The following is a 25,384-nucleotide window of genomic DNA, read 5'->3' as shown; positions in this document are numbered from 1 at the left end:
CAAGTATACGTGGTTTTAGGTGATGTTTGCATTTTTTTGGTGGAATTAATAAGTGTGGGAATAATTTGCACTGATGAAGCAGAAAGGAAATCTTGTTAACTGGTTCTCAGATTAAATTAAGTATATATTGTGATGGTAGTAATTCTCTCCACTAGGTGGTAGTATAGCCTGTTAAATACACTGTATTTCCTGGTGTGGATTAGATTTCTAGAATCTTTTGTTTTCACAAAAACATATTTGGTGGTGAGGTTCTTAGTATGTCCATGTCTGCAGTGTTTTTCTTCTCTTAATTTTTATAATTTAATAGTATTATAAAATACCTTTTAAAGGTATTTAGTTTATTTTTTCTCTCTTCTCCCTCCGTCTATCCATTCATTCATCCATACATCCACCCATAAAAAATCAGGTGCCTGCTCTGTGCCAGGCATAATGATAAGCTGAACCATATAGAGAATAAGACCTACAAGTCCTTGCCCGCATGCAGCTTACATTGAGGAAGAGGGTGAATCAGAAGACCTGATAAAGTTACATGATCGAGCATGGTCGATACTGGTAAACTGTGGCTGTCAGTCTGACCCAAACCTCATTTGGGTTTCACATTTTTAAATGGATGAAAAAAATGAAAAGAATATTATGACATGTAAAAAAAAATCTGAAATTCCAATGTTGCTGTCCATAAAAATAGCGTGATTGAGACACAGCCTCGCTCATTCATTTAGGTGTTACCTGTGACTGCTTTCCTGCTACAGATGCAGAGTCAAGTAGTTGTCACGGGGACTGTATGGCCTGCCAGATCTGAAATATGTGTTATCTGGCCCTTTACATAAAAGTTGACTGATCCCTGTAATAGAGATAATTTGGGGTGGTGCTGAATGATGATGCAGGGCAAGAGTGAGGGTGGCTACTTGATCTGATGTTCAGGATGACCTCTTTGTGATAGGCAGATTTGACTGGAGACGAAAAGGTAGGAAGTAGCCAGTGTAGGTGAAAATAAAAGGATAAACTATTTCAGGTAGGAAGAAAAAGTGAAAAAGCTTGAAGTCTGGGACACGTCTGGCCTGCTCAAGGAACGGAAAAAGCGCCAGGGTAGCTGGCCAACGGGCAGCGCCAGGAATGCTCATAAATGCAGGCAAAGACCAGGCCATGTAGGGCCAAGTTTAACTCCTAAGGAAACTCAGGCCCAGGGAGATTAGAAAACTGTTACTGTCAGAAATGGGACCAGAACTTCCAACTCTTAGGATATTAATTACCCAATGCTCTTTATTTGCTTTTATATACAGATACTATATATTTGACAGGCTGTCTGCCGCTTTCATCTGTTCAATCTTCATATGTTAGGCTTTCAGAAAATCTGCACTTTTGTATCAACCACTCAAAAACCTCTTTATACCCTAAATTCAGACTCCACTGGCTGACAGTTTGATCCAGCCCACAGTGGCATTGTCTGCCAGCCAGCAGCTGGCTTTGTGCCGAGTCACCATCTTTGTCTACATAGCAAAGGATGTTTGTGCAATTCTTCGAAAATTTTCTCATGGAACCTTTTAGAAATTAATGGTATATTCACACACAATACAGAGATACATTCCTTTTGTAAATATGTGCTGCCCACCTTACAGAAAGGGCTGAAGTCTTTTCATCTACCAACCCTAATCAAGGATTCTCCCCTAAAGTTAGCTACTGTTACCAGTTTTTGTATGTTCTTCCAGAAGGACATTGTATGTTCACATAGAAAAATTATATAGTATTGTTTTGAGTGTATGTATGTATGTGGGGATGTTATGTATAAATACATACTCCACCATTTACATGTGGCATTTTGTGTTGTGTTTTTGTTTTTGTTTTTTTGCATTTGCTATTTTCATATGCTGTAGTTTTAAATTGTGCTCTGTGGAATTGGAGGCCTGAAAGCCTGTGTGTTTCTAGATGCTTTATACCACTTCCTCTGGAGCAGCTCTGCTTTAGATTTTTTACATATGGGGCCTTTGGGTAAAATTTTATTTAAAGAACAAAATTGCTTACAAAGAAAAGCTTGCAAACTATTTTATGATACCTTGTCTCTACTGCCTTATAAAAAGAAAGAAAAACAGAAAAATGAAAGTGCAGATGGTAACGTGGTGATGGATCCATCTCATGCACTTAAATTAAGCTGAGAGGAAGTTGGAAATCACCAGGTGTGGCCACTGAGGTGAACATTTAGCTTCAACCGGATGCTTGTTGGACTTCAGTCAACTGTGTTTTTGATTGCAAGGGGAAAAAAATGAAAGAGCAAGTAGAAAAAACAGATTGTTCTTCAGAGGTGTAAACCCATGGTGTGTCTTACTCTAGGTATGTTCTGGATGATCAGTACACAAGTTCTTCTGGTGCTAAGTTTCCTGTGAAGTGGTGTCCACCTGAAGTGTTTAATTACAGCCGCTTCAGCAGCAAATCAGATGTCTGGTCATTTGGTAAGATCCATGTTTCCTCATGTCCGTCCGCCCTGAGGAGAAAGTGGATACATCCATTTGGTAATCCTTATCCTTTTCCAGGTGTTTTAATGTGGGAAGTATTCACGGAAGGCAGAATGCCTTTTGAAAAATACACCAATTATGAAGTGGTAACCATGGTTACTCGAGGCCACCGACTCTACCAGCCGAAGTTGGCGTCCAACTATGTGTATGAGGTGATGCTGAGATGTTGGCAGGAGGTATAGATTTTTTGTGTGCTTTCTTTTTGAATCTCTTAGGGATTGGGCTTGGTAGATGGATAACATGCAGTCTTTATAGCCTAGTGAGGTGGTGCATCTTTATAGTGATTTCAAGCTCTAGGTAGGAAGCCAACCCTCTCAACTCAAGTTCTGAATAACGGGAAGAAGAATGTAAAGATGTGGAAAATGCTAATAACTACCTCGATACATTCAGGCTGCTTCCTCACTTCCAAGTGGGACTCCTTCCATGGTTGCCTGAGATAGGGACTTGGGGAATAAGCCTGGATAAGTAGCTCTTTTTTCATTGGTTCACTTGTAGAGTTGAAGTATTATTTTTTTACCAGAGTTGGTTTCTTTCTCTAAACCTCAACTTTCCGAGGTCTTTGAAAGTATTGAAATGTTACCTCCTAAAAGAGATTAGATACCAAATGACTTCTGAAAGACAGTAACATTAGCTCACATGTATTATGTACCAGGCACTATACTTAGTGTTTTGGATTTAGTTCTCAAAACAACACTTTGAGGTGGAGATACTTTGACTGTAGCCACTCTGTAGATGAGAAGATTAAGGGTCATGAGGTTGCTGCTTGCCTGGGGTCACTTAGCTACAGAACAGTATAGGCCTGTCTGATTCCAAAGCCCAGAGTCTCAACCACTTGCTGTACTGCCTCCCAAGAGCATTGATTGGGATGGGCAGAGACATTCTGGGCAGGAAGTGGTGCTAAAGGGAGAGAGAACAGCTTGAGCAAAGGTAAGGAGGTGGTTATAAACACAGTGTGCACAACAGTGGAGACAGTGGCCCTATTTAACAGACAGCCCATGTGAGGGATTTTGTGGGGAACAAGATTGGGTAACAAGAGGGTCGGGAAGTGGCAGATTATAGAGGCTCCTACAAATTTGCAGGACTTGATTTCACAGGCAGTAAAAAGATCTATCAGGGTCTTGAAGAGAGACATGAAAGCAGTGTCTTAGAAACGTTAGCCTAGCAGCAGTACATGCAGGGTAAATTAGGGTAGAGACAAGACCCCTTTGGAGATGCCTGTATGTCCTAGTCCCAAAGCAGTGAAGTCTCTCTGTAATATGCTGTGTTTAGGAGTTGGAGCAGTGAGAGGTTTTGTGGAATGGATTCTGGAACCCACAGCTTCTCTTTGACTTTTAATTGTAGAAACCAGAGGGAAGGCCTTCTTTCGAAGATCTGCTGCGCACAATAGATGAACTAGTTGAATGTGAAGAAACTTTTGGAAGATAAGTGATGTGTGACCAGTGGCTCCCAGATTCCCAAGCACAAGGAAGGATGGGCATTTTGTGGCTTTTAATTTATTGAGCACTTGGACATGTAGATCATTTTACTTATACAGTGGAAACACATAAATAATTTGCTTCTAGACCAGCCTCTGTCTAGACTTGCTTCTAGACAGAATCTCCCAGAGTGTGGAAATGTTGCCTTAGAAATGGTGATTAAAATCACTCATTTCTATTCATTCCTCAGGCACTTGAGTGACAGTTGTTTACCAGGCACTGTGTGTAGCCCCAGGGTTTGGCCATTCAGGGGTGCACACATGGGACCATGTTAGCTGATGCCAGTTGAAGGCCAGGGTATTTGGGAAGGGGAAGGGTATTAGAGTCATGACCAAGCAACCCTTCTTTTTCCCTTTGACTTCTACAGAAATCTGGGCCTGAGACATTGTCTACAATTGGGTTCTAGATACATCAGGAACCCATCTTGGATAAATAAATACCTATCTTTTGTTTTGAAAACATCTCAGTTTTCAAGACTGCTCTTAGTATTACATGAACAATATTTGTATGCTGTATATATTGTAAATATATATAATATATAAAGTTATATATTTATGAGAAACACGAATTGTCTTTTAATTGAAACTTTTAATCCTGTAGTATAGGAGTTCACCTTCTTAGGACTAGAGACTGTGCCTTATAGCTGTTAATTCATTTCCCCCTGAACATCAAATATGCCTGAAGAGAAGAAAGTCTAGATTCTTCTATGAGTAACGCCCCCTCCTCACTCAGGTAAATGTGTCTGGGGATGCCTGTCCAGCTTAACCACGTGCATTTGGCCTATGTAATCCTGCCCATGGTGGCCGCAGCTAATCAGAATCAGATGGAAAATTAAACCGGGTAATCTACTTCTAAGCCTTAAGAATATTCCCTGGGACACAGACACTATAATTGGAAGTGCTGAGCTCTGGGGCAGAAGGATCAGGTGACCTTCGCAACAAAGTTTGCCCCCACCTCACATAGGACCCGGAAGCAGCCTGAGCTGTGGCGGAGGATCCAGGAAGCTACGGAGAGAAGCAGCCAGCATGGTGTTCCGTGCCTCCCGGACGTTTTTCAGGAGGCCTGGTTGGACTTGGGTTCCTGGATGGTGGGATTGTTGTACAGCCTCTCAGGAGACCCTGCTGTCAAGACTGTGTGTGTGGATTTCTCACCCTTAGAAGCTCTACTAAGACATCAACGGAATTAGGGCCTTCCTTTTTGCCTTGTGAGCGCCAAGGAAAAGAAACTATCTCGGTCACGTGAGCGCCAGCGAAAAGAAACTGTATCAGTCATCCAGAGACCGTTTATTGCCCAACACGTTATTCTTGCTGTTGGTGGGGTAACTAGCCGAGGAAGACACAGCGCCTTCCCTTCAGGAGTTGCGTCTCCTCTGCAGGCCACGATGGTCTGCTCTGGAGCATTGGGTGAACACACAGGCTGGCTGCTCTGGGCAGCGCCTTCACTCTGACCCTGGAGAACCATTTCATTTCATCCTGGTCAGTCTAGAGTCTGTGCACCAGGCAGTCCATCCACTGAAGGCTGTGTTTATTCTTTTCCTGTGCCCCTCATAATGGAAGAAAGTAAACTGCTTATCCCGAGCCTTATCACAATCTGCCACATTCCTTCTTGTCTACCTGTTTAACTGTACCCCCATCACAAAAACAGGCACAACTTTTTTTTTACATTCCAGGGTACATGTGCAGGATGTGCAGTTTTGTTACATAGGTGAACGTGTGCCATGGTGGTTTGCTGCACCTATCAAAAACTCATCACCTAGGTATGCATTAGCTATTTTTCCTGATATTAGCCTGATATATATATTTCCTGATATTAGCCTGGCATGCATTAGCTATTTTTCCTGATGCTCTCCCCTCATCTGCCCTCCCCAACAGGCCCCAGTATGTGTTGTTCCCCTCCCTGTGTCCATGTGTTTCATGGTTCAGTTCCCACTTATAAGTGAGAACATGTGGTGTTTGGTTTTCTGTTCCTGCATTACTTTGCTAAGGATAACGGCTTCCAGTTCCATCCATGTCCCTGCAAAGGACATGATTTCATTCTGTATAGCTGCATAATATTCCACGGTGTATATGTACCACATTTTCTTTATCCAGCCTATCATTGATGGGCATTTTGGTTGCTAACCATGCACAACTTTTAACTGACTTGTAGCTCATTGAAGGAGTCGGTCCTGGCACACTCTACCTTACTATCACTGTCAGCCTTTTCTCCTTCCTTCCTGACCTTCCCTCCTCCCATCCCATACTTCCCTTTTCACCTTGAGGAGCTACGGGAAGTACTAGGTGGTATGAAAGAGAGTGAGGAGAAGATAGAGTCCCTGTCCTAATGGTCAGTGTATGCTTTTTATGGGAAAACAAGATAGATAGCACCTGGCAACATTTGTCAACATTTCCTTCAAAAATCTTTAAATATTTTTCACTAAGACTTAGAAAAAAAGTTTTATACGAAAGCATAACAAAGGCAAAAGGTGAAGTAAAAATAACAGTCATCACCCAGAATGCTAAGGAGACCTTAATCTAAACCAGGAAATTGGAAGGGCGATTAGAATATGCTGTGTCTTCATTAAAGTTGCTCTGTTAATTAGTTGACACATGGTTATGCTTTCCAGTGGGATGAAGTGAAACTCCCAAGTGTGTTTTGTATTGTTGGTGTTTTTATATTTCTCAGCCATCCCCCAATCACATTTTAGGGTTATTACTAGATTGACTTCCCCCAAATAAAGTGTCTGCTGAGTGGGAGGATGGAACATTCTAAACTCAATATTCCAGAGCCTAGAATCTAATTGTTTCTGCCACTCACGGTGTGGCCTTGGGCAAGTCCCTTATTCTGTCTGTGCCTTCATTTCCTTCCCAGTCCAGAGAGGGCAGTTTGATTTGATAATTTTAAAGGTGCCTTTTACCAAAATTTTGTGATTTCTTGAAAATGATGTTTGCGAGTCACCCACACCTTTGGGGATGAGAGACTAATAGCAGATACCCTCAGAGATTGGGATGGAGATTACTGAGCTTTCTTATATATGCCATTGGTTGTCATTTATACTCTTCTGAGGTTTTCAGAACAGGAAAATAGGTGGGGTTAACTCTGCCCGTGAGAAACATCTTGAGCGAACTATGATTTCAGTTGAAAGATGTGTTTTTGTGAGTAGAGCACCGCAGAAGAACTGAAGACTGTTGTGTGCTCCCCGCAGAAGGGGCTACCATGATCCTTTCCTCCTGTGAGTAAGATGGGCTTTGTCATTTATTTTTGGGGCTTGTTCTGGGGCCTGTTATTCTTGAACAGCAGAGGAAGTTTTTTTTTTCCAAGGCATAGAGCTTGGGGACATTAAAAGATAATTTCCTCAGATGTTGTGACAGAGTTTTGTTTCTTATTTAAAGAACCACAGTGATGATGTAATTCTAATAAAGGTTCAGCATTGAGAACATAAATGAAAGAAAAACAGAAAGAGTGTCCAGAAATCTGCATATGTGTGTGTAGAAATGCAATCAGTATGAAGTACTTGTTTTTAGAATGAGACTGTAATGAGCTCTGGGCTGAAGGCCAGGAGACCAAGTTCTAGTTCTGGATTTGCTCCAGCAGTGGTGGATCACAGTGGGCAACTTTATATATATATAAATACACACACATACACACACACACAAATAAATATCTATATTTAAGGCAAAAGGAAGAGAAGTCAAAACACAACTGTGTTTATACTCTGAAATTATCTGCTTTATCAAGTAAACATATAGACTTAACCTTTATTTTCACAGGGGTATTTATTCACAATTCTATGTAGACTTCCGTTATCGAGGACCTTTCCCAAGCAATTGAAATTTAGGCAAAACTGATTCTTATCTGCAGTCAGAGCCTGAGTAAAGGCCAAAATAAGAGTCAAAGTCACGAGTCTCTACCTGGTTAAAAGTGTGAACATGGTCAAGTGTGAACACTGGCTCAAATGTCTCTTTCCCTCATATATAATACTACATATGAAGATGTTATTTTAATATTTTTATAGAATATAAGACCATCATTAAAAATAAGTGCTTGTTTTAGGAGAACAGAGAAAGATTCCCTAGACACTGTTATCTGTGAAGATCCTTGGTTTGAAAGAGCTGTGGGGGATGCTTATAAATCCAAAGAAATTAGAATAAAAAAAAAAACCAAGCAGAATAGTCTTCTAAATAAGAAGGCAGCCGTCATATCAGAATTGCAATGTGTTTGTTTCTTTATAAAGGTATTTATTGAGCACCTACTATGGGCCATGGTCTATACCAGTTCCTTTATATTCATTATCTGAAATCTTCACTACAAACTGGCAAGGTGAAAATTGTTATTCTTATCTAGCCAATAAGAAAATTGTGCCTTTGAAAGTTTAAATCTTGCCAGAAACTCATATGGTTGTCAGACGCAGGATTTAAGTATGAGACTTTTTTTTTTTTTTTAGACAGAGTCTTGCTCTGTCACCCAGGCTGGAGTGCAGTGGCACGATCTCAGCTCACTGCAACCTCCACCTCCTGGGTTCAAGTGGTTCTCCTGCCTCAGCCTCCCGAGTAGCTGGGACTACAGGCGCATGCCACCATGCCTGGCTAGTTTTTCTATTTGTAGTAGAGACAGGGTTTCACCATGTTGGCCAGGTTGGTCTCAAACTCCTGACCTCAAGTGATTTGCCTCAGCCTCCCAAAGTGCTGGGATTACAGGCATGAGCCACCACACGCGGCCAAGCATGAGACTTGCCAGACTCGGGATTTAAGTGCTCTTCCTTTTGCCTTAAATATATATACACACACACATACACACATATATAAATGAGTTTATATGTATAAATAAGCTCTCAAAGGGAGTGTGTGTATGTGTATATTTGTATACATATAAAGCTGCCAACTGTGATCCACAAATGCTGGACGAAATCAGAACTAGAACTTTAGCCCAGGCCACTCCCTTTTTGCCCACCTTGCAACAAAATATAAAGAAACAATAAACCTGAGAGGTGCTTTAAGAACTTTATTTTGGGAGTTGCTTTGGAAGACTATTCAGTCCCATGTGCAGTTTTGGAAATACTTATTAATTTACCTCTAAGACTCAGAGGGCCTTATTTTGCAGATAAGGAAGGAAAATACTGTCTGATTTTAATACTAGGTGACGATGGAACCAAGCTTCAACAAAGCTCAGTCATATCAGATTAAAGCAATCAAAGACCAGCTAAAAAAGTCAAGTTTTTACATTTCTGACTTTTAAGTAGCATTAAGGAAAAATTGATTGTAATTTTTAAATATCATCTGTTTAAGCGAAATCCCCTCATAGGAGCCAACAATTGTTTGTAGATTTTGTAAAAAAAAAAAAAAAAAATCAGGTTATTCCAGTTGTGCTGACCTGAAAATAACTCATAGTCTTCCATTCACGCAGATAAGAACAAGCCTCCTGTAAACAGAAATATAGGCCAAGCAGAGCAAAGCAGAAAAAGCGACAAAGCAGCAACCTGTGTCCCCTGCCACCTCCACTGGCAGGACAAGCTCAGCAGTGACTTAAGGATCTTTAAATATTAAAAGCTGTGTGAGCATCTGCTCTTTATTTCCCTCAAGGTCAGAACTAAAGAAAATGCTGTAAATTACAGCAGGAAGGATTCGGTTATATATAAAATAAATCACTGTGAGTGTTGAGACAAGGATTTGATTGTCCAAGGGATTAAATAAGGGACTACCTATTGGCGGGATATTTTGAGGATTATTCTCTCTGGCATGGATTTGATGAAATCTCGTTCTCCTTTCCAGCTTCTGTTAATTTGATTTGATGGTAAGAATCACCTGTTGTCTACTGTATATTGCAGCTGAATGTGGCTACATTTTCTGCTGGGTAAAACAATGAGTGTTTACTATTGACAAGGAGACAGCTAAGTGATGCCTCAAGATGTATTACTGTTAATCAAAAAACAAACAAACAAACAAAAAAAGTCCAGCGAAGAAGATTGCTTAAGCTGAGGAGTTTGAGGTTGCAGTAAGCTGTGACTGCACCACTCCACTCCAGTCTGGGTGACAAAGTGAGACCCAGTCTTTTAAAAAAAAAAAAAAAAAAGTTTATATGTTTGTTAGGGTCATTTGCCAAAAACATTTGTTGTTTTAAGCATTGTCATAGAATCCTGGCTTCAAAGGCTGCTATAGGGTGGGAGAAGATAATTGTGGAGCGTGGGATATTGATCATACTGATGGGAGATTTGGAGTGGGGTCTCAGGGCACTGCTCCAGTGAGATTCAGTTTGTGAAACGTACTTGGTATTGCCAGCATTTCCATCAACTCACAGTTGCCCTGAGAACAGATCCAGCCTAGAAGAGTTATTTAAAGGACAGGGCAAGGGAAAGCAGCTGGGGGCTTAAAGAATTCACCTCTTAGCTCCCCTGTTTGCCTAATTTCTCTGCCTTTCTTTATTCCCAACTTAGAGAGTAGAAAGAGTGGTTTCTAAGTCTTGGTGTGCCTGAAGCATGCCTGGGGTGCTGTTAAAAGGCAGGTTTCTGGGCTCATCTCCATAACTGGATCTGAGGGTAAAGTAAGGATGTTTTGGTCACACTGCCTTTCTTGGGCCTCTCTTTTCAGAGTCCTATCTTACTCCTTTTTGTATCTGATTCTCACACCAACTTTGTTAGGTCAACACCTTCCATTATTACTATTATGAATATGAAGATAAGGAGGGTAGCTGTGGTAGGCAGCCTCTAAGATGGCCTGATGATATCTGCCTCCAGATATTCACGCCCTTAGGCAGTCCTCCTCCTTGAGTATGAATTGGACCTAGTACCTCACTTCTTGTGATTAGAATATGGTAAAAGTGATGGAACGTCACCTCTGAGACCAGGTTACAGAGGTGGCGGCTCCCATTCCTGCGATCTCGGGCTTTCTGTCTCCTGCATCGCCGGCTGCTTTGTTGGGAGCACTCTCAGGCAGCCCGCAGAGAATCCCCATCACGAGAAACCGAGGCACCATGACCTGCTTGGAATTCGCTTAGAAGTGTATTCTCCAGCTCTGGTTGGGCCCAGCTTGACTGCAACTCCATGAAAGATCTGGAGACACAAGCACTCAGCTAAACCATTCCAGAACTCCTGGCCCACAAAAGTGTGAGATAAGTGTTGTAAGTCATTTGGTCTCAGAATAATTTGTTTCCAACAATAGATAACTAAGTGTGTGGCAAAAGCAGGAGAAGCCGCAGATTAAAAAAGAACTTGGCCACTTTGGCCACCCTTCTGCCTGGGGCTGGAGTTTGATGCCCTTTCTGAAAGATTAAAATGGACACTAGATGTGTCTTTTCTTTTGTCTTTAAATCATTTCAGTTTTTAACTCGTCACTGCAGCTGCCTTTTGTAACTACTGCAGATCCCCACATTTCTCCTCTGTGGAGCTCCCCAGGCCAGCAGTGCCCACACTCCCTGCCCACCGAGGGTCAGTGAGCAGTACGGCTTCTGGCCCAGTGCCAGCCACGCCCGTGTGCCTTGTGGCCAAGCACTTCTTCACATCACAAGCTGGCTCGATGTCTTGGGTGTGATGTCTGCGAGCTTATTATGAACTTTGAGCTCACAGAAAACAGTGTTCTAGGAAACACTGTTTTGAGATGTGGGGGAGTGGGGAAGTTGTGGGCAAGGTGCCTGCAAAGACCAACTCACATCAGCCCCTTCTGAGAAAGAAAGAAAAATTGCCTCATAGACCAAACAAGGGTTTGGGTGGCTGCTGTCCGTGTCTGGGGAGTTGCCCTGGCAGAAGCTGGGAAACAGATGAGCGGTCATCATCAGGAAGATTTCTGCCTTTCCTTACAGCACCTTTTACTCCCAGAAACATTGTCTTCCCTGGTGCCCGGGACTCCATCCAGCTTGCCAGGCTTCTAGAATCTCCTCACCCCACACAGCACCCCTTCAGGCCATAGACAGGTCAAGCACCACTCTTCCACTCAAATTGATCAGTTTGGTGTCCTGTTAGCTAGGTACTTGTTTTCTCTTAGTCACCAGTGACTCCCCTAAAGTAGTTATCCTCCCTTCTTTAAGGTTTCACTGGCAGTATAATGTCAAAAAAACAGAACAGTCAAGGTCTAACACAAATTACTCACTTATTTTATCCATACATTTAGAAAAACTAACATCTCTGGAGACCATCACTTCTTAGAATAATGGACATTTTAGTATCAAAAGGAAAAGTGCACACACGTGCGAACACAGACACAGGATCACTTCAGACCCCAAATGTATAAAGGGCATAAACTCAGAATAAAGGATAACTTTCTAAATTGAATAAATATGTGAAAAACTCAATGTCCCAATTTTACTATTTTCCCCTCTCCTTGGTGTGGGGTCTTGGTTTGGTGTCTAACTCCAAACCAAGAAGTCTAACTCCAACTTGGAAGTCTTTTCTAACTCCTGTTCAGAGGTAGAAATCCATCCATGCTATAGCCAAGCTAGTTATGTGTCACTCTCCCCAGATAATATGGGTTAATGTGGCTAAAACGTGCCTATCTTCAAAAGGCCCTTAAGAAATGGGGCCTTTTGAAGATAGGCTGGGCGCGGTGGCTCACGCCTGTAATCCTAGCACTTTGGGAGGCCGAGGCAGGTGGATCACGAGGTCAGGAGATCGAGACCATCCTGACTAACACAGTGAAACCCCGTCTCTACTAAAAATACAAAAAGAAATTAGCCGGGCGTGGTGGCAGACACCTGTAGTCCCAGCTACTCGGGAGGCTGAGGCAGGAGAATGGCGTGAACCCGGGAGCAGAGGTTGCAGTGAGCTGAGATCGTGCCACCACACTCCAGCCTGGGAGACAGAGTGAGACTCCATCTCAAAAAAAAAAAAAAAAAAAAAAGGATGTAGTGGTGGGCATTTATGGCAGAGTAATGAGGAAGTTTGGCCTTTCTGTAAATTTCTGGAAAAAAAAACAAAAAGGATATGTTGCAGCAAACTTACAGAATCAGCTCTGGTCACCCAGAGCCATTTTTCCAAAGCCACAAGTTTTTAAGGCTTTCCCCACTCACCACAGCCCATCAACTGCAAAAGCAGCCGGTATCAGACATTCCTCATCTTAAAACCACAACCTGGAGCGCCTGGCTTGGGCAACAAGCCTGGTCTTTGGGTTAAGGCAGCTCTCAAAACTGAGCCAGTTTCAAGCCATGTTTTTAAATATAAATCACTAGCCATGTGCCAGTTATTATGATGACCAAATTCAGTAGGAATGCATTTCACTCAAGGCACTGATTCAAAACGAAACCCTGACATCGGAAATGCCAGGGGATGAACTGGAGGTGACGATGTAAACTTCAAAACATTAGACATGAGGAAGCGACAGCGGCTTTGCTTCCCGCGCAGCCCGGGCCCCACAGTTCTTCACATCTGTTCCTTTGTCCTCTTCAGAGATGACCTTAGGAGCTATTCTGAGAAGGGGTGCTTCTCACTTTTGCTTTCTTCCAGTGCCCCCTGGTGGAAACCTGTTCCCAATCAGCCCAGCTGTTGCCACCCAGGAACCTCTGGGGGTGGAAGGAATGTCAATAGGAGCCTCTCCTAGAGGACAGAGGGGCGCAAATCCTTCCAAGGAAAAAACACAAATACCAAAGATGGGAGGGCCAACTGCCTATCCCATGACAGATGTGCCGGTTTCTAAAGGTCACAGAGATTACATCTGATGCGATGCCCTTTTTCTGATTTGCTGGCCTGAGGCTCATCATTAGAGATATTTACTGAGGAATGAGAAGTAGATGAAAAGAACAGCGCAGATGTAAGCCTGGGAGAGGAAGCTCAGCTCCTTCAGTGATAATCTTCAAGCCCGAATATATTCTTTCCACATTTCCTTCCAGCAGGCAAATAGTCATTGCCTATCTCTGGGGCATTTTTGTCACTCTGGCAAAGGCCCTTGATATGCATGAGTTCCTGCCTAAGTTGGGAATTTGCTAAAAGCTCAAGAGCTTTCCCTCTGCAGGTTAATCGGCAAAACAATTCAAAGAATGGCTTCTGTAATCACAGAATGCCTGTGGAAGGGCGCTGTCTATTTACTTACTGGGAACACCTGTGCTGCTGTAAATTGAAAATGATCATGAAATGAATACTCCTTGATACCTGCATTGGAATGAATTTTGGCCCAACACTTCAACCTGTAAATAAAGATGCCTGCTGTCTTGGAAAGTCATGCCAAGCAAGGGAACACCAGGGAGCTGTTTGGCTTTCATAGTGTGATTTTTCTTCTCGCAATGATTATTTATTGGGCAGCAACTCTGCTGGGCAGAGGATGGAACCACAAACAAAGCAGTGGTTTGCCTTCCTGCTCACCACTGTTCTTGGACTTTGAGGGAAATTAAATAAAATTGGGTCATAATTAAAGCAGTGGTAGGGTAGGTCTGTATCTTTCTTTAAAGGCCATTGTCTTTGCTATTGAATCAGGAAACATAAGAATTTTTGAAAATATTTTCTCCTAAATTCCAGGCTGCAGAAGACAGTGAAGACAACTAAGGGGAATATTATCAGGTGTGGCCATGTGTTGTGAGGTCAGGGAGCTGGGGGAGGCATTTCTCTAGTCCCAGATACTCCTGCCTGCTGACTGATAACAGCAATTTCTCTTTCAAAGTTCTTGACTTGGCCAGGCATGGTGGCTCCTGCCTGTAATCCCAGCAGTTTGGGAGGCCAAAGAGGGGGATCACTTGAGGTTGGGAGTTTGAGACTAGCTTGGCCAATGTGGTGAAATCCTATCTCTACTAAAAATACCAAAAAAATTAGCCGGGTATGGTGGAGTGTGCCTGTAGTCCCAGCTACTTGGGAGGCTGAGGCAGGAGAATCGCTTGAACCTGGGAGGCGGAGGTTGCAGTGAGCCGAGATCATGCCACTGCACTCCAGCCTGGATGACAGAGCAAGACTCCATCTCAAACAAAACAAAACAAACAACCACACACACACACAAAGTTGTTGACACTTGAATAAGGTGGTTCCCCAAAATGTAACTACTCATAGCCTAACATTGACCAGAAGCCTCAATAACATAAATGTTGATCAACACGTATTTTGTATGTTATGTGTATCATACACTGTATTCTTACAATAAAGTAAGCTAGAGAAAAGAAATGCTTTAAGAAAGTCATAAGGAAGAGAAAATAGATTTACTATTCATGGAGTGAAAGTGGCTCATGATAAATGCCTTCATCCTCGTCATCTTCATGTTGAATAGTCTGAGAAGGATGATGAAGAGGAGGGATTGGTCTTTCTGTCTCAGGGGTGACAGAGGCAGAAGAAAATCTTCATGTAAATGTTTATACCATGTTTTTCAAGTGTCAAACTATTTAAATTTAATGTGTTGTGATGGTTAATTTTATGGGTCAACATGGCTTGGCCATGGTGCCCAGATATTTGATCAAACATTATTCTGGATGTTTCTGTGAAGGTAATTTTTGGATGAGATTAACATTTAAATCGGTGGACTTGGAGTACAGTGGGTCACCCTCCATCATGTGAGTGGGCCTCTCCCACAGTTGAAGTCCCTAATCAATGAAAGTCAGACCTCCCCTGAGCAAGGAGGACTTTTGCCAGCAGACCGCCTTTGGGCTCAAACTGCAACTCTTCTCTCATTCTTCAGCTTGCCGGCCTGCCCTGTTAGATTTTGGACTTGCCAGTTTCCACAACTGCCTGAGCCAGTTCCTTAAAAGAAACCTCTCTCTGTGTTCACCCTGACTGTTACAAATGTCATGCTTACAAACATGTACACGCCTCTGCACTGCAGTAAGCATGACATTGCTGAAGCGCTGCAGTACAGCATGTTTACTATTTAACATTGTGTCTGTCATTTATACCTTACTGAGAAAAAGTGTGAGAGCCTCTCCTGAGGCCTGCTTTGATAGCAGGGAGAGAGAGTCTCCTGGAGTCCTGAACGGGGGAAACATCTGCCTTTGAGTCAGGGATAAAGTTGGCTCAGAAGAGAGGAGTTGGAGCTGAAGATTCGCTTTCGTTTACTAAGCCTTCTTCCTCCATTTTGTCTTCAGAGGGAAAACCACACCTGCTCCTATTTGGTTACCTTAAATGTATTTTGTGAGTACCCAATAAATAGTTGCTGAATGAGTTCTAGGGAACTGGGGGATGGGGACAAAGTGGTAAAGTAACTGAGAGTAGCTGGTATGTTCTAGCCATGTTTGCCTCTGCAATCTTATTTAATCTTCTCATCCACAAGGATAGTCCTATTGTGATGCTCATGGACTCTGGGTTTGACTTCTGGCTCAGCTGCTTTTTATGTGACTGGATAAATGGCTGAAGCTCTCTGTTCCTCTGTTTCTTTATGTGTAAGATGGGGATCATAATGTTAGTATAGTGAGTAAGTTAGCATGGCGTAGTATAGTAAGATCTAAGTATCTGTCATGCCTGGCATATGGTAAGGGCTGTGTTGGTAGAAGTGGGGAAACCCTTTCTTAGAAGACAACTTTTATTACCTACGTTTTCTAGATTTGATTGCCCAAAATCACATTGTTGCTCCAAGAAAAGGGAACAGTGATTTGAGTGCATGTCTGCCTGATACTAAAGCCTGCTGAACCCCATATGTTCTTTTAATACAGAAAAGAAAAAACAAACACATTTGAATGCCAGAGAGTTTTTAATAATTTCATTTGGCATCTCATGGTTTGGTACTTTATTTTGGATAAGCATTTGTTTAAAAATATATGTCTGGAATAAAAGGTTAGACTTATGAGCCCCCACAAATGCTGGCTAAAGCTCCGGAAGCTCAGTCTTCACCTTTGCCGTTCCACTCAGTCAAAAGGTCACGGTCAGCTTAGCTTTCTCTGTGGCCAGCATCACACTGTGAAATACTGGGTGATAAGATGAATGAGTGGAAAAAAAGAAGAGCTCAGATGTAATGTAAGGGTGTTGATATTGGTGGGGTCTTATTTAACAGTTATTTATTGAGCTTTTGTTATGTGCCAGGCACTGATGCTAGAAGCTAGGGAGAAGACAGAAAAAAAAAATTAAAAATAAAAAAAAAAGGATAAGATGCAGTCCCTGAGATTGAGAAGCTTACAATCTGGTCCAGTGTCTCCACTGGGGTTGATTTTGCCCCCAGGGAACATTTGGCAATGCCTGGAAACACTTGGGTTTCCACAATTGGAAGGTGGTGGTGGTGTGGGTGTTAGAAGGGAGGGGGTTATGTTGCTGCCGGCATCTAGTGCATAAAGGCCAGAGATGCCCTAAATATTCAGTGGTACACAAGACAGCTCCCCACAATAAAGAATGATCCTGTCTAAAATGTTGATAGTGGTGAGATTGGGAAGCCCTGTGAGAGATGAAGCCTACACAGAGAAACTTAAATGACGATCTCAGGTGGTACCTAACTAGGAACCACAGGGCAGGACTGTGCTTTGGGACAGGACATTTGGGACAGGGCATAGGTGCTTTGGGAACTGAAAGGAAGAGTACATGGGAGTGTATTGCAATGGAAGTCTTCCTTTCCAGGCTGGAGGCAGAAATGCACGACGTGTCTGTGAGAACAGAGCAAACAGAAGAAGCTGGTGCAGCAGGAATTGGTGAAAGCTAAAGTAGTCAGGGTGGGGTCACTTATGGAAGACCTTGAAAGTGGGGGAAGATATAATGCTGAGGATGAAGAGCAGTTGGCTGAAGCAGGCTTTTAGGGAAATGGGTATATGGGGTGAATCGAAGGAGACAGCTCAGAGCAGAGACTCTAGATTCAGGTTCAAATCCTGGCTCCCCGCTTACTAGCCCTTTGTTGGTAAGGAGTAACCTCTCTGTGATTCAGATTCCTCATCTGTAAAACGGCATCTACTTCACAGAGTCATTGTGAGGACTAAGCGAATTAATGCAAAATTACAGGTACGAGTTGATGAGGGCTTAGCCTTGCTTATTGGGAGGGTGTAGAAGAAGGAAAAAGCCAAGCCCTGTGAACAGACTGATAGATTGATGGCAGATCAAATACAAAGGGTGGGGCTCAGGAAGAATCTAAGTTTTCTGTGGTGGACTCATTCACAGACATGGGGAGATTGGAAAGGGGAAGCAACAGAATGGTTTTCTTACTAAGGATAGTGAGGAAGATGATAATTCTGTTGGGGAAAAGGTAAGACAGAGGCCAAATTGGGGAAATAAAAATCCTTTTGCATCTATCACTAAAAGTTATGTACATGTAGAAAGCTATCAATCATAGAATGGGTACCTAACTATCAAATCACAGACCTATTTGATTTTCTGGGTTTTTCCTTTTCTTTATATAAGTTTTGAAATATTTCAAGCATACAGAAAAAAGTAGAAAATAACATAACAGGCTAGTGATTACTCAAGGATAAAGTGGCCATTATATACACTTTTTGGCTTTGATGATATTAAATAATTTGTTTATATTAAAACAGGAGGCTATATAGATGGTCAGAGCTCACCTTCCTGGACCATTTTCCAATGGCTTCCAGGCTGAGAACTGATTGCTCTGCTTGGCCTGTGGCCAAGTTGTTCTCTAGTATCTATGAAGCCTCCCTACTACATAGACTCCCAAGGTCTTATCTTCCTTTATTTCAAGGACTTTTATGACTGAGTTATTCCTCTCTGGTCACACTGTTCACCACTTCGGATTGAACCTGCTTGTTCTGTTCCAAATACCATTTGCAAATTTCCACTAGGAATGAATCAAGACAGGTACATCCTCTGAGCAAGCTTATAATTTTGTGCTCTTTCAAACATATTCATTCATTCATTCATTCACTGAACAAATATTTATTGAGTATTCATTGTGTCAAAAAGTGTTGTAGCTTCTTGGGATATAATAATTGTGAACAAAATAGACAAAGGTGCTTGTTTACATACTAGTGAGGTAGACAAACAGCAAAGAAAAAAAGGTAAATAAATTGCACAGCATGTTAGAAGGTGAGAAATACACCAAAAAAGAAAGAAAAAGTAGAGCAGAGTGAGGAACCTCAAAAGTTAGGGAGTGCAGATGGCCGTAATGTCAAATCAGGGGGCTATTCACTTAGAAGATGAGATTTGAGCAAAGACTTGGAGGGATTGGAGGGAGTTAAGAAAGGAGGGAGGAGTGCTCTGGAAAAAACAAAAGCCAAGAATCTCTGGTGAGAGCAGGCCCTATGGCTCCAGCAGCAGCATTGCGGTGTGGCTGAGTGAGGTGAGCAGGAGCTTATTGCAGAGGAGATGAGAGGGAACAGGAGGCCAGATCATGGAGCATTTTATAGGCTCTTGTGGAACATGTAGCTATAACCCTGAGTGAAATGGGGAGCTATTGTGGGGTTCTCAGACAAGGAGTAACATGATCAGACTTAAGACAAATTAATTACTCTGGCTGCTGTGCTGAGAATAAAGCATAGTGGGAGGAGGAGAAGCAGGAAGAAGTTAGGAGGCTTTTGGTGTGAGCCAGGTGAGGTGATGGTGGCTTATCCATGGTGGTGATGGATGAGATGGGGAAAGCAATAAGTATGTGTGTGTGTGTTTGTGTTTTAAATTGTGTTGAAATATATATATCAAAAATTTACCATTTTAACCATATTTGAGTGTACAGTTCAGCAACATTAAGTACATTCACATTGTTATAAACCATAACCATTCTCTATCTCCAAAACTTTTTCATCATCCCAAATGGAAACTCTTGAATAAACAGCCTTCTGTATCCACAGGTTCCACATTGCTGGGTTCAACCAACTGTGGAACAAAAATATTTGAAAAAAAAAGGATGGTTGTGTCTGTATTGAACATGTACAGACATTTTTTTCTTGGTATTATTCCCTAAACAATATAGTGTAACAATGATTTACATAGCATTTACATTGTATTAGGTATTATAAGTAATCCAGAGATGATTTAAAGTATATGTGAGGAAGTGTGTAGGTTACATGCAAATATTATGTCATTTTATATAAGGATCTTAAGCATCTATGGATTTTGATATCTGTCGGAGGATCTGGAACCAATCTCCCATGGACACTGGGGAAGTCTGTATTTTTTAAAGACACAGTCAGCAAACTTTCTTGATAAATTGGCCTGTGTGTGAGAGAGAGAGAGGAGTCAAGGATGACTAAGATTATTTACCTGAGCAACTGGAAAGACGGAATTGCTTTTGACAAGATGGAGAAGGGTGATAGAGCCTGTTTGGGGAGGGAGGAAGAAAAAGAGTTCAGATTTCATCTCCTGTTTACTTGAAGTATCTACTAGACATCCAAGTGGAGAATTTGAGAATGCATTTGGGTAGGTGAGTCTGGAGTTAATTAGAACTGGGCTAGATGTGTGTATTTTGATGTCATCAGCTGATAGATAGTTTTTAAGCTGCAGGAGGGAATGGGATAATCAAAAGAGTGAATAAGACAAAGAAAAGAAGAAATCAAAAGCTTTGCGGGAAATCTAGCATTATTCAGAGGTCAGGGAGGTAGAGAACAAAGCAGCAAAGGAGACTGACAAGGAGCAAAGCCAAGGGATATGGTACCAATGCTGCCAAGAGAGAGGTTCAGTAAGATGAGGACTTAGAGTTGACCGTTGGATTTAGTGGTGCATGGGTCACTGGTGACCTTAACAAGAGCAGTTTTGTTTTTTTTTTCTAGAAGTGGTAGAGATGACAGCCTGACTGTAATGGAAGGAGAGCAGTTGGAGACAGCAAGTAAAGAGCCTTATTTCTAGGGCCGGAGGACTGGCTCATGCCTTTAATCCCAGGACTTTGGGAGGCCTAGGTGGGCAGATCACTTGAGATCAGGAGTTTGAGACCAGCCTAGCCAAAATGGTGAAACCCCATCTCTACTAAAAATACAAAAATTAGCCGGGCATGGTGACAGGTGTCTGTAATCCCAGGTACTCTGGAGGCTGAGGCAGGAGAATTGCTTGAACCTGGGAGCCGGAGATTGCAGTGAGCCAAGATGGCACCAATGCACTCCAGTCTCGGCGACAGAGCGAGACTTGGTCTCAACCAAAAAAAAAAAAAGAGACTTATTTCTGGATTTTACAATAAATAGAGAGCAAATCAATGAGGGAAATAAGATCACGCGTAGTTTGTTTTGTTTTTAACAGCTAAAGTAACTGCATATATATACGTATATATGTATTTTATATATACATACGTATATACGTATATATGTGTATATATACGTATATATGTATTTTAATAGCTGAAGTAACTGCATATATATACATATATACGTATATATGTGTGTATGTATATATACACATATACGTATATACATATATACGTATATATGTACATATATACGTATATATGTGTGTATGTATATATACACATATACGTATATACATATATATGCATATATACATATATACACATGTATATACATATGTATGTGTATGTATACGTATATTTGTGTACGTGTGTGTGTGTGTATATATATGCTGATGATCCAGTAGAGGGGGAAAAATGGTGATATAGGAGAAGGAGGGAGTATTTTTAAAATTTTGAATTTGAATACCTCCAAGTGGGCTTGGGCACAACATTTTGCCACAGTCTACACTCTATTCTGACCTACTTCATTCATTTATGTAACCTACATTTGGTTTTGCATCCTGTGGCCTGAATAGATACAGATCTATTTGGGGCTCTAAAACAGCACTGGAATAAATTGGTTAAAATGTAAATGAGACCCATTCCTGCCAAAGTCAACAGAGTCCTTAAGTGCTAATGTGCCCTCTCTTTGAAGAGTGACTTTTTGGCAGGTTCCTCATCCCAGCAGACACAGCAGATGAAAATGGCAGTCAGAAGCAGCTGAAATCCAAACACCAAAGAACATGATGTAGTGTAGATTCTTGGGAATTAGTAATTTATTTTATTTTTGTCTCCAGAAGTAAGTCTTTGGGTGGGCCATGGAAAATGAGTGATTTCTGGGTGCAGGAAAAGGAAGAGAGAAATGGAAGAAAAGGAAGAGAGAAAGGAAGAGAGAAATCGGGGGGAGCAATGAAACAGCAGTGGGTGCAAAGGTGAGTCCTTGCCTGGGCTTGGACTTGAACTGTATGTCCATGGTAGAGAAGAGAGGTTTCCCATTGGACCATCAGTCTGTCCATGGCTCAACAACTGAGCAATGGTGACGTCCAAATCAGAGAAAGGTAAGTAACTGATGTATGAATGTAGGTTTAGAAGATCAACTTCTTTGATAGGAAAGGAACTAATATGTATTGATAATGTGTAGGGATTAAATTTTGCAGCCAGCCTGCAAAATGGCTCAGTGTTCCCCACCTTTTAGTATTCATTCCTCTCCATCCTAAACTTTATCTTGGAAACAAAAATCTGTAAGGGTTAGTTCAATGTCCTCCTAAGCCCTCTGGGTTCTGGTTGGATTATACCTGTTGGGAACCCTGGAATGAAGTTGTAATGAGGTTGTTGTGTCCCTAAACAGCAGATCATTCATCTCCTCAAAGTGATCTCTGCTCTATTTTACTCTCTCTCACTCCTGGTCCTTGTGAACCTAGGGATGGTGACAGTTCCAGTACTGCTGGACCTGGGTTCCTGTATATCTTTTGTGGTTTTCACTTCTTTGTAATTAGTCCCTTTATAAATAACCCTTTCAAAGTTAATCTAAGTATGTCAAGTTTTCTCTTGTATCAGAAGTAGCTCTAGGAAGCAGATTCAGAGTTGGGTATGGGATTTATTTGGTCATATATTTAGAGGTCCAGAGATACCCTCTGCTGGAGAAATAACTCAGTTATCAATTAATCAAATTGTCATTGGTACTGCTTGGGATAAAGGGCAAAGAGAGGGCAAGATGCTGGCTTTATGGCATTTCAGGAAAACCCCAATAAGAGAATTGCAGCACAAACCCCTAGGAATATTTTCCATCTCAAAAGCAGCTCCTGACTTTCTACTGGTAAAGACTAAATGCTTAATCACGGATCATCAAATAGTTAAGTGATCCAAGCTGCTTATCGTGAGCTGGGTGTTATCTGATTCAAAGGACTGTGAAATCAGTCATGCGTACTAGTTTTCTATCCTAATACAGAAGTGGCATATATGAAAATGGGCCCTAGCAGATCCAGAAGCTTCAAGAAAGCTTCATAAGCATGCAGCATCTATTCACATTGTACCTACTCTTCCTGCTTCTACTTCAATTCACACCAGTGGCCTCTTGGGTAGTTCTCCAACAGCTTATGGGAGAAAATCTCTGGCTTGATTTACAGGAAGATCTGCATCATAAATGTGTACCAACAGGAAATAGCCATTGTACTATAGCCTCATTCAGAGGTAGCCTGATAGATAGTGTTGAAATAAAGTCCTCCCAGAACTTCAGGAAACACATAAGTTTATTCACTTCATTAGGAAAAGAGATAGTCTGAGACACCGATCTACCTCGATTCATGGGCAATGGTAAAAACAAATTGGTCTGCCAATTTGGAAGGAACAAAATTGGGAGATTGGTGACAAGGAGATCTTGGGGAAAGGGATGTGGTTGAATTTCTTAGAACAGGGACAGAATAGGAAGATATAACCAGAGATTGACAAGATGACCCATGTTGTGGAGGGAGTTAGCTTTTTCTTAGTCTCACTGGTGCTTGTTCAATGGTCCCCAAATACCTTACCATGTGTCCCATAACTCCAAAGCAGCTGACTTGATAAAACAGAAGAATGGCCTTTTAAAGGCTCAATTACTATCACATCTGGAAGACAACATCTTGCAAAGTTCAGGTAGGGTCCTGTAGGATACAATAAAGTCTTAAACCATCAGCAAATATGCTTTTGTTTTTCCATAGCCAGGATACATGAGTCTGGAAACAAAGCAGTGGAGATTGGAGCAGCCTCTCTCACCATTTCATCTAATAATGCACTAGAGTATTGTTGTTTACTTTCCCTGAGACTTTGGTTTTTGTAGGTTTGGAGATTCCGTTGCCAAGAGAAGAATCCTTTTATTAGGGAATATTGAAAGTTGAACTGCCCTGTGGCCACTATGGGATTCCTTGTACTACTGAATTTATAGGCCCTGAAGGGGGTCAATGTAGCTGGGGTGATTATCCTGATTAACAGAGGAAAATTGGGTTGGTGCTTCACAATTACAGCAAAGAGGACTTTGTTTAAACATTAGGGAATGCATTAGCTTTATTTCTTAATATTCTTAATAGTCCTGGTCAATGGAAAACTGTAGCAACCCTACAAAGACAAGACTAAACAAAAACCCAAATCCTACAGGAATGGATATTTGGGCACCTCCTCCAGCCAAGGTGTTGGCAGTGGCAAAGGGGAAATGGAATGGATAATGGAAGAGGGCATATATGATTTCCACTTTAGGATGGGCCGAGCGCGGTGACTCATAACTGTAATCCCAGCACTTTGGGAGGCCAGGTTGGGCGGATGACTTGAGGTCAGGAGTCCGAGACTAGGCTGGCCAACATGGTGAAATCCCATCTCTACTAAAAACTACAAAAAATTAGCTGGGTGTGGTGGCACATGCCTGTAATCCCAGCTACTCAGGAGGCTGAGGCAGGAGAATCACTTGAACCTGGGAGGTAGAGGAGGTTGCAGTGAACCAAGATAGCACCACTGCACTCCAGCCTGGCCGACGCAGTGAGACTCTGTCTGAAAAAAAAGAAACAAAAAATGGATGCTGAGGGGTGGACTGTGCTGGATGTTTCCTGTCTGCCTCTCTCCCTGCCGGTCCACTCTCTGCCTTTCACCAGCCTGCTGTTTGCTGCTGTGTGATTTACATACAACCATCTGGCTTCCTGCTGGGTTAGGCCAATGGAGAGCCCAGCAAGGAGGGAGGGAGGACAGTGGAGTAAGGATATTTATCCTCCTGATTTTCTTGCTGTGAAGTCTCCTTGGGCAGTCTGTGTCCTTGGATGGATGATACATGCTCTTTTCCAGGTGGCCTGGGCCACAGATACCCTCTCCTTCTAGGTTCTGGTAACCTTCCCTTCCCTCCTCACTTGGTTAGGTGTGGTGATGGCTCAGCTCTGGATTCCTGCACTATCCTTGTAGTTTTACTACACTCTGCCTACATCTCTATACTTCCTTTTATAAATAAATCCTTCTCAACATATCCCAGTTTGAGTGTGCCTTCTGATTCTTGTTGGGATCCTGACTGATAATACTTACCTTTATGATCCAGGGACTTTAAAAGATGTTATCTGATTGATTCTTCACCACGATCCTATTATAATCAGCCTTCTTGATTACCCTCTTACTGTATACCTGGTATTGGTCTAGGAGTTTTACATGAATCGACTCAATTAGTCCTCACCGTTGGCTTACATGTTAGGCATCCTATTATTCCCATTTTACAGACGAGGAAACTAAAGCACAGAACATTTACTAGTTTACTCAAAGTCACAAAGTTAGACATTTATAGGGCTTCTCAAAGGGAGTACATACTATTTACCTCAGTTTTACAGTTAGAAAAACTAAGACTTAGAGAAGTAAAGGGACTTATCCAAGATGTAGTCAGCCAGGTGACTAGGGCTAAACCCCAGGTCTGTCTCCCCTCAAAGTGAATGCTCACCTCTAAGGTACTCTGCTG

The 25,384-nt window shown here is 42.0% G+C and overlaps 2 protein-coding genes across 7 annotated transcripts in view, besides 4 other annotated features; both read left to right on the top strand.

Annotated features, from left to right (window-relative positions):
* The window catches only part of TEC (tec protein tyrosine kinase), a 134,056-nt gene extending 128,491 nt beyond the window's left edge, over positions 1–5,565 (top strand). For 3 of the 5 annotated variants that reach the window (NM_003215.3, XM_047416106.1, XM_011513737.3), the window contains exons 16-18: positions 2,326–2,444; positions 2,526–2,683; positions 3,849–5,565. In NM_003215.3, the coding sequence (NP_003206.2) occupies positions 2,326–2,444; positions 2,526–2,683; positions 3,849–3,932 (361 nt within the window). In that variant the 3' untranslated portion in view covers positions 3,933–5,565. Of the gene's footprint in view, positions 1–2,325; positions 2,445–2,525; positions 2,684–3,848 lie in introns of those variants that run through there. The other 2 variants (XM_047416107.1, XM_011513741.2) reach the window with 1 other exon arrangement.
* A 1,532-nt stretch (positions 5,566–7,097) lies between these two features.
* TXK (TXK tyrosine kinase) overlaps positions 7,098–25,384 on the top strand; it is a 67,858-nt gene continuing 49,571 nt past the window's right edge. For both annotated transcript variants that reach the window (XM_017008581.3, NM_003328.3), the window contains exon 1: positions 7,098–7,193. Coding sequence is in view for 1 of the 2 variants with exons in the window: in NM_003328.3 (NP_003319.2) it covers positions 7,178–7,193 (16 nt within the window). In the remaining variant the exon portion in view is untranslated. The remainder of the gene's footprint in view (positions 7,194–25,384) is intronic.
* Positions 7,362–7,656: a silencer, noted in NCBI's record as "tiled region #15119; HepG2 Repressive non-DNase unmatched - State 24:Quies". NCBI's record gives its function as "represses a minimal TATA promoter and a strong SV40 promoter by Sharpr-MPRA in HepG2 cells {active_cell/tissue: HepG2}" and the evidence as "EXISTENCE:reporter gene assay evidence [ECO:0000049][PMID:27701403]".
* Positions 11,706–11,825: an enhancer, noted in NCBI's record as "active region_21537". NCBI's record gives its function as "activates an Ori minimal core promoter by ATAC-STARR-seq in GM12878 lymphoblastoid cells {active_cell/tissue: GM12878}" and the evidence as "EXISTENCE:reporter gene assay evidence [ECO:0000049][PMID:35858748]".
* Positions 13,347–14,209: an enhancer, noted in NCBI's record as "OCT4-NANOG-H3K27ac hESC enhancer chr4:48129156-48130018 (GRCh37/hg19 assembly coordinates)". NCBI's record gives its function as "activates a minimal SCP1, AML or CMV promoter by ChIP-STARR-seq in primed H9 embryonic stem cells {active_cell/tissue: H9 hESC(primed)}" and the evidence as "EXISTENCE:reporter gene assay evidence [ECO:0000049][PMID:30033119]".
* Positions 13,702–13,996: a silencer, noted in NCBI's record as "tiled region #289; HepG2 Repressive non-DNase unmatched - State 24:Quies". NCBI's record gives its function as "represses a minimal TATA promoter and a strong SV40 promoter by Sharpr-MPRA in HepG2 cells {active_cell/tissue: HepG2}" and the evidence as "EXISTENCE:reporter gene assay evidence [ECO:0000049][PMID:27701403]".

The sequence above is a fragment of the Homo sapiens genome, chromosome 4 (genome assembly GCF_000001405.40).
Source record: "Homo sapiens chromosome 4, GRCh38.p14 Primary Assembly".
NCBI classification, from domain to species: domain Eukaryota; kingdom Metazoa; phylum Chordata; class Mammalia; order Primates; family Hominidae; genus Homo; species Homo sapiens.
This window is presented reverse-complemented; position numbering and strand designations above follow the sequence as displayed.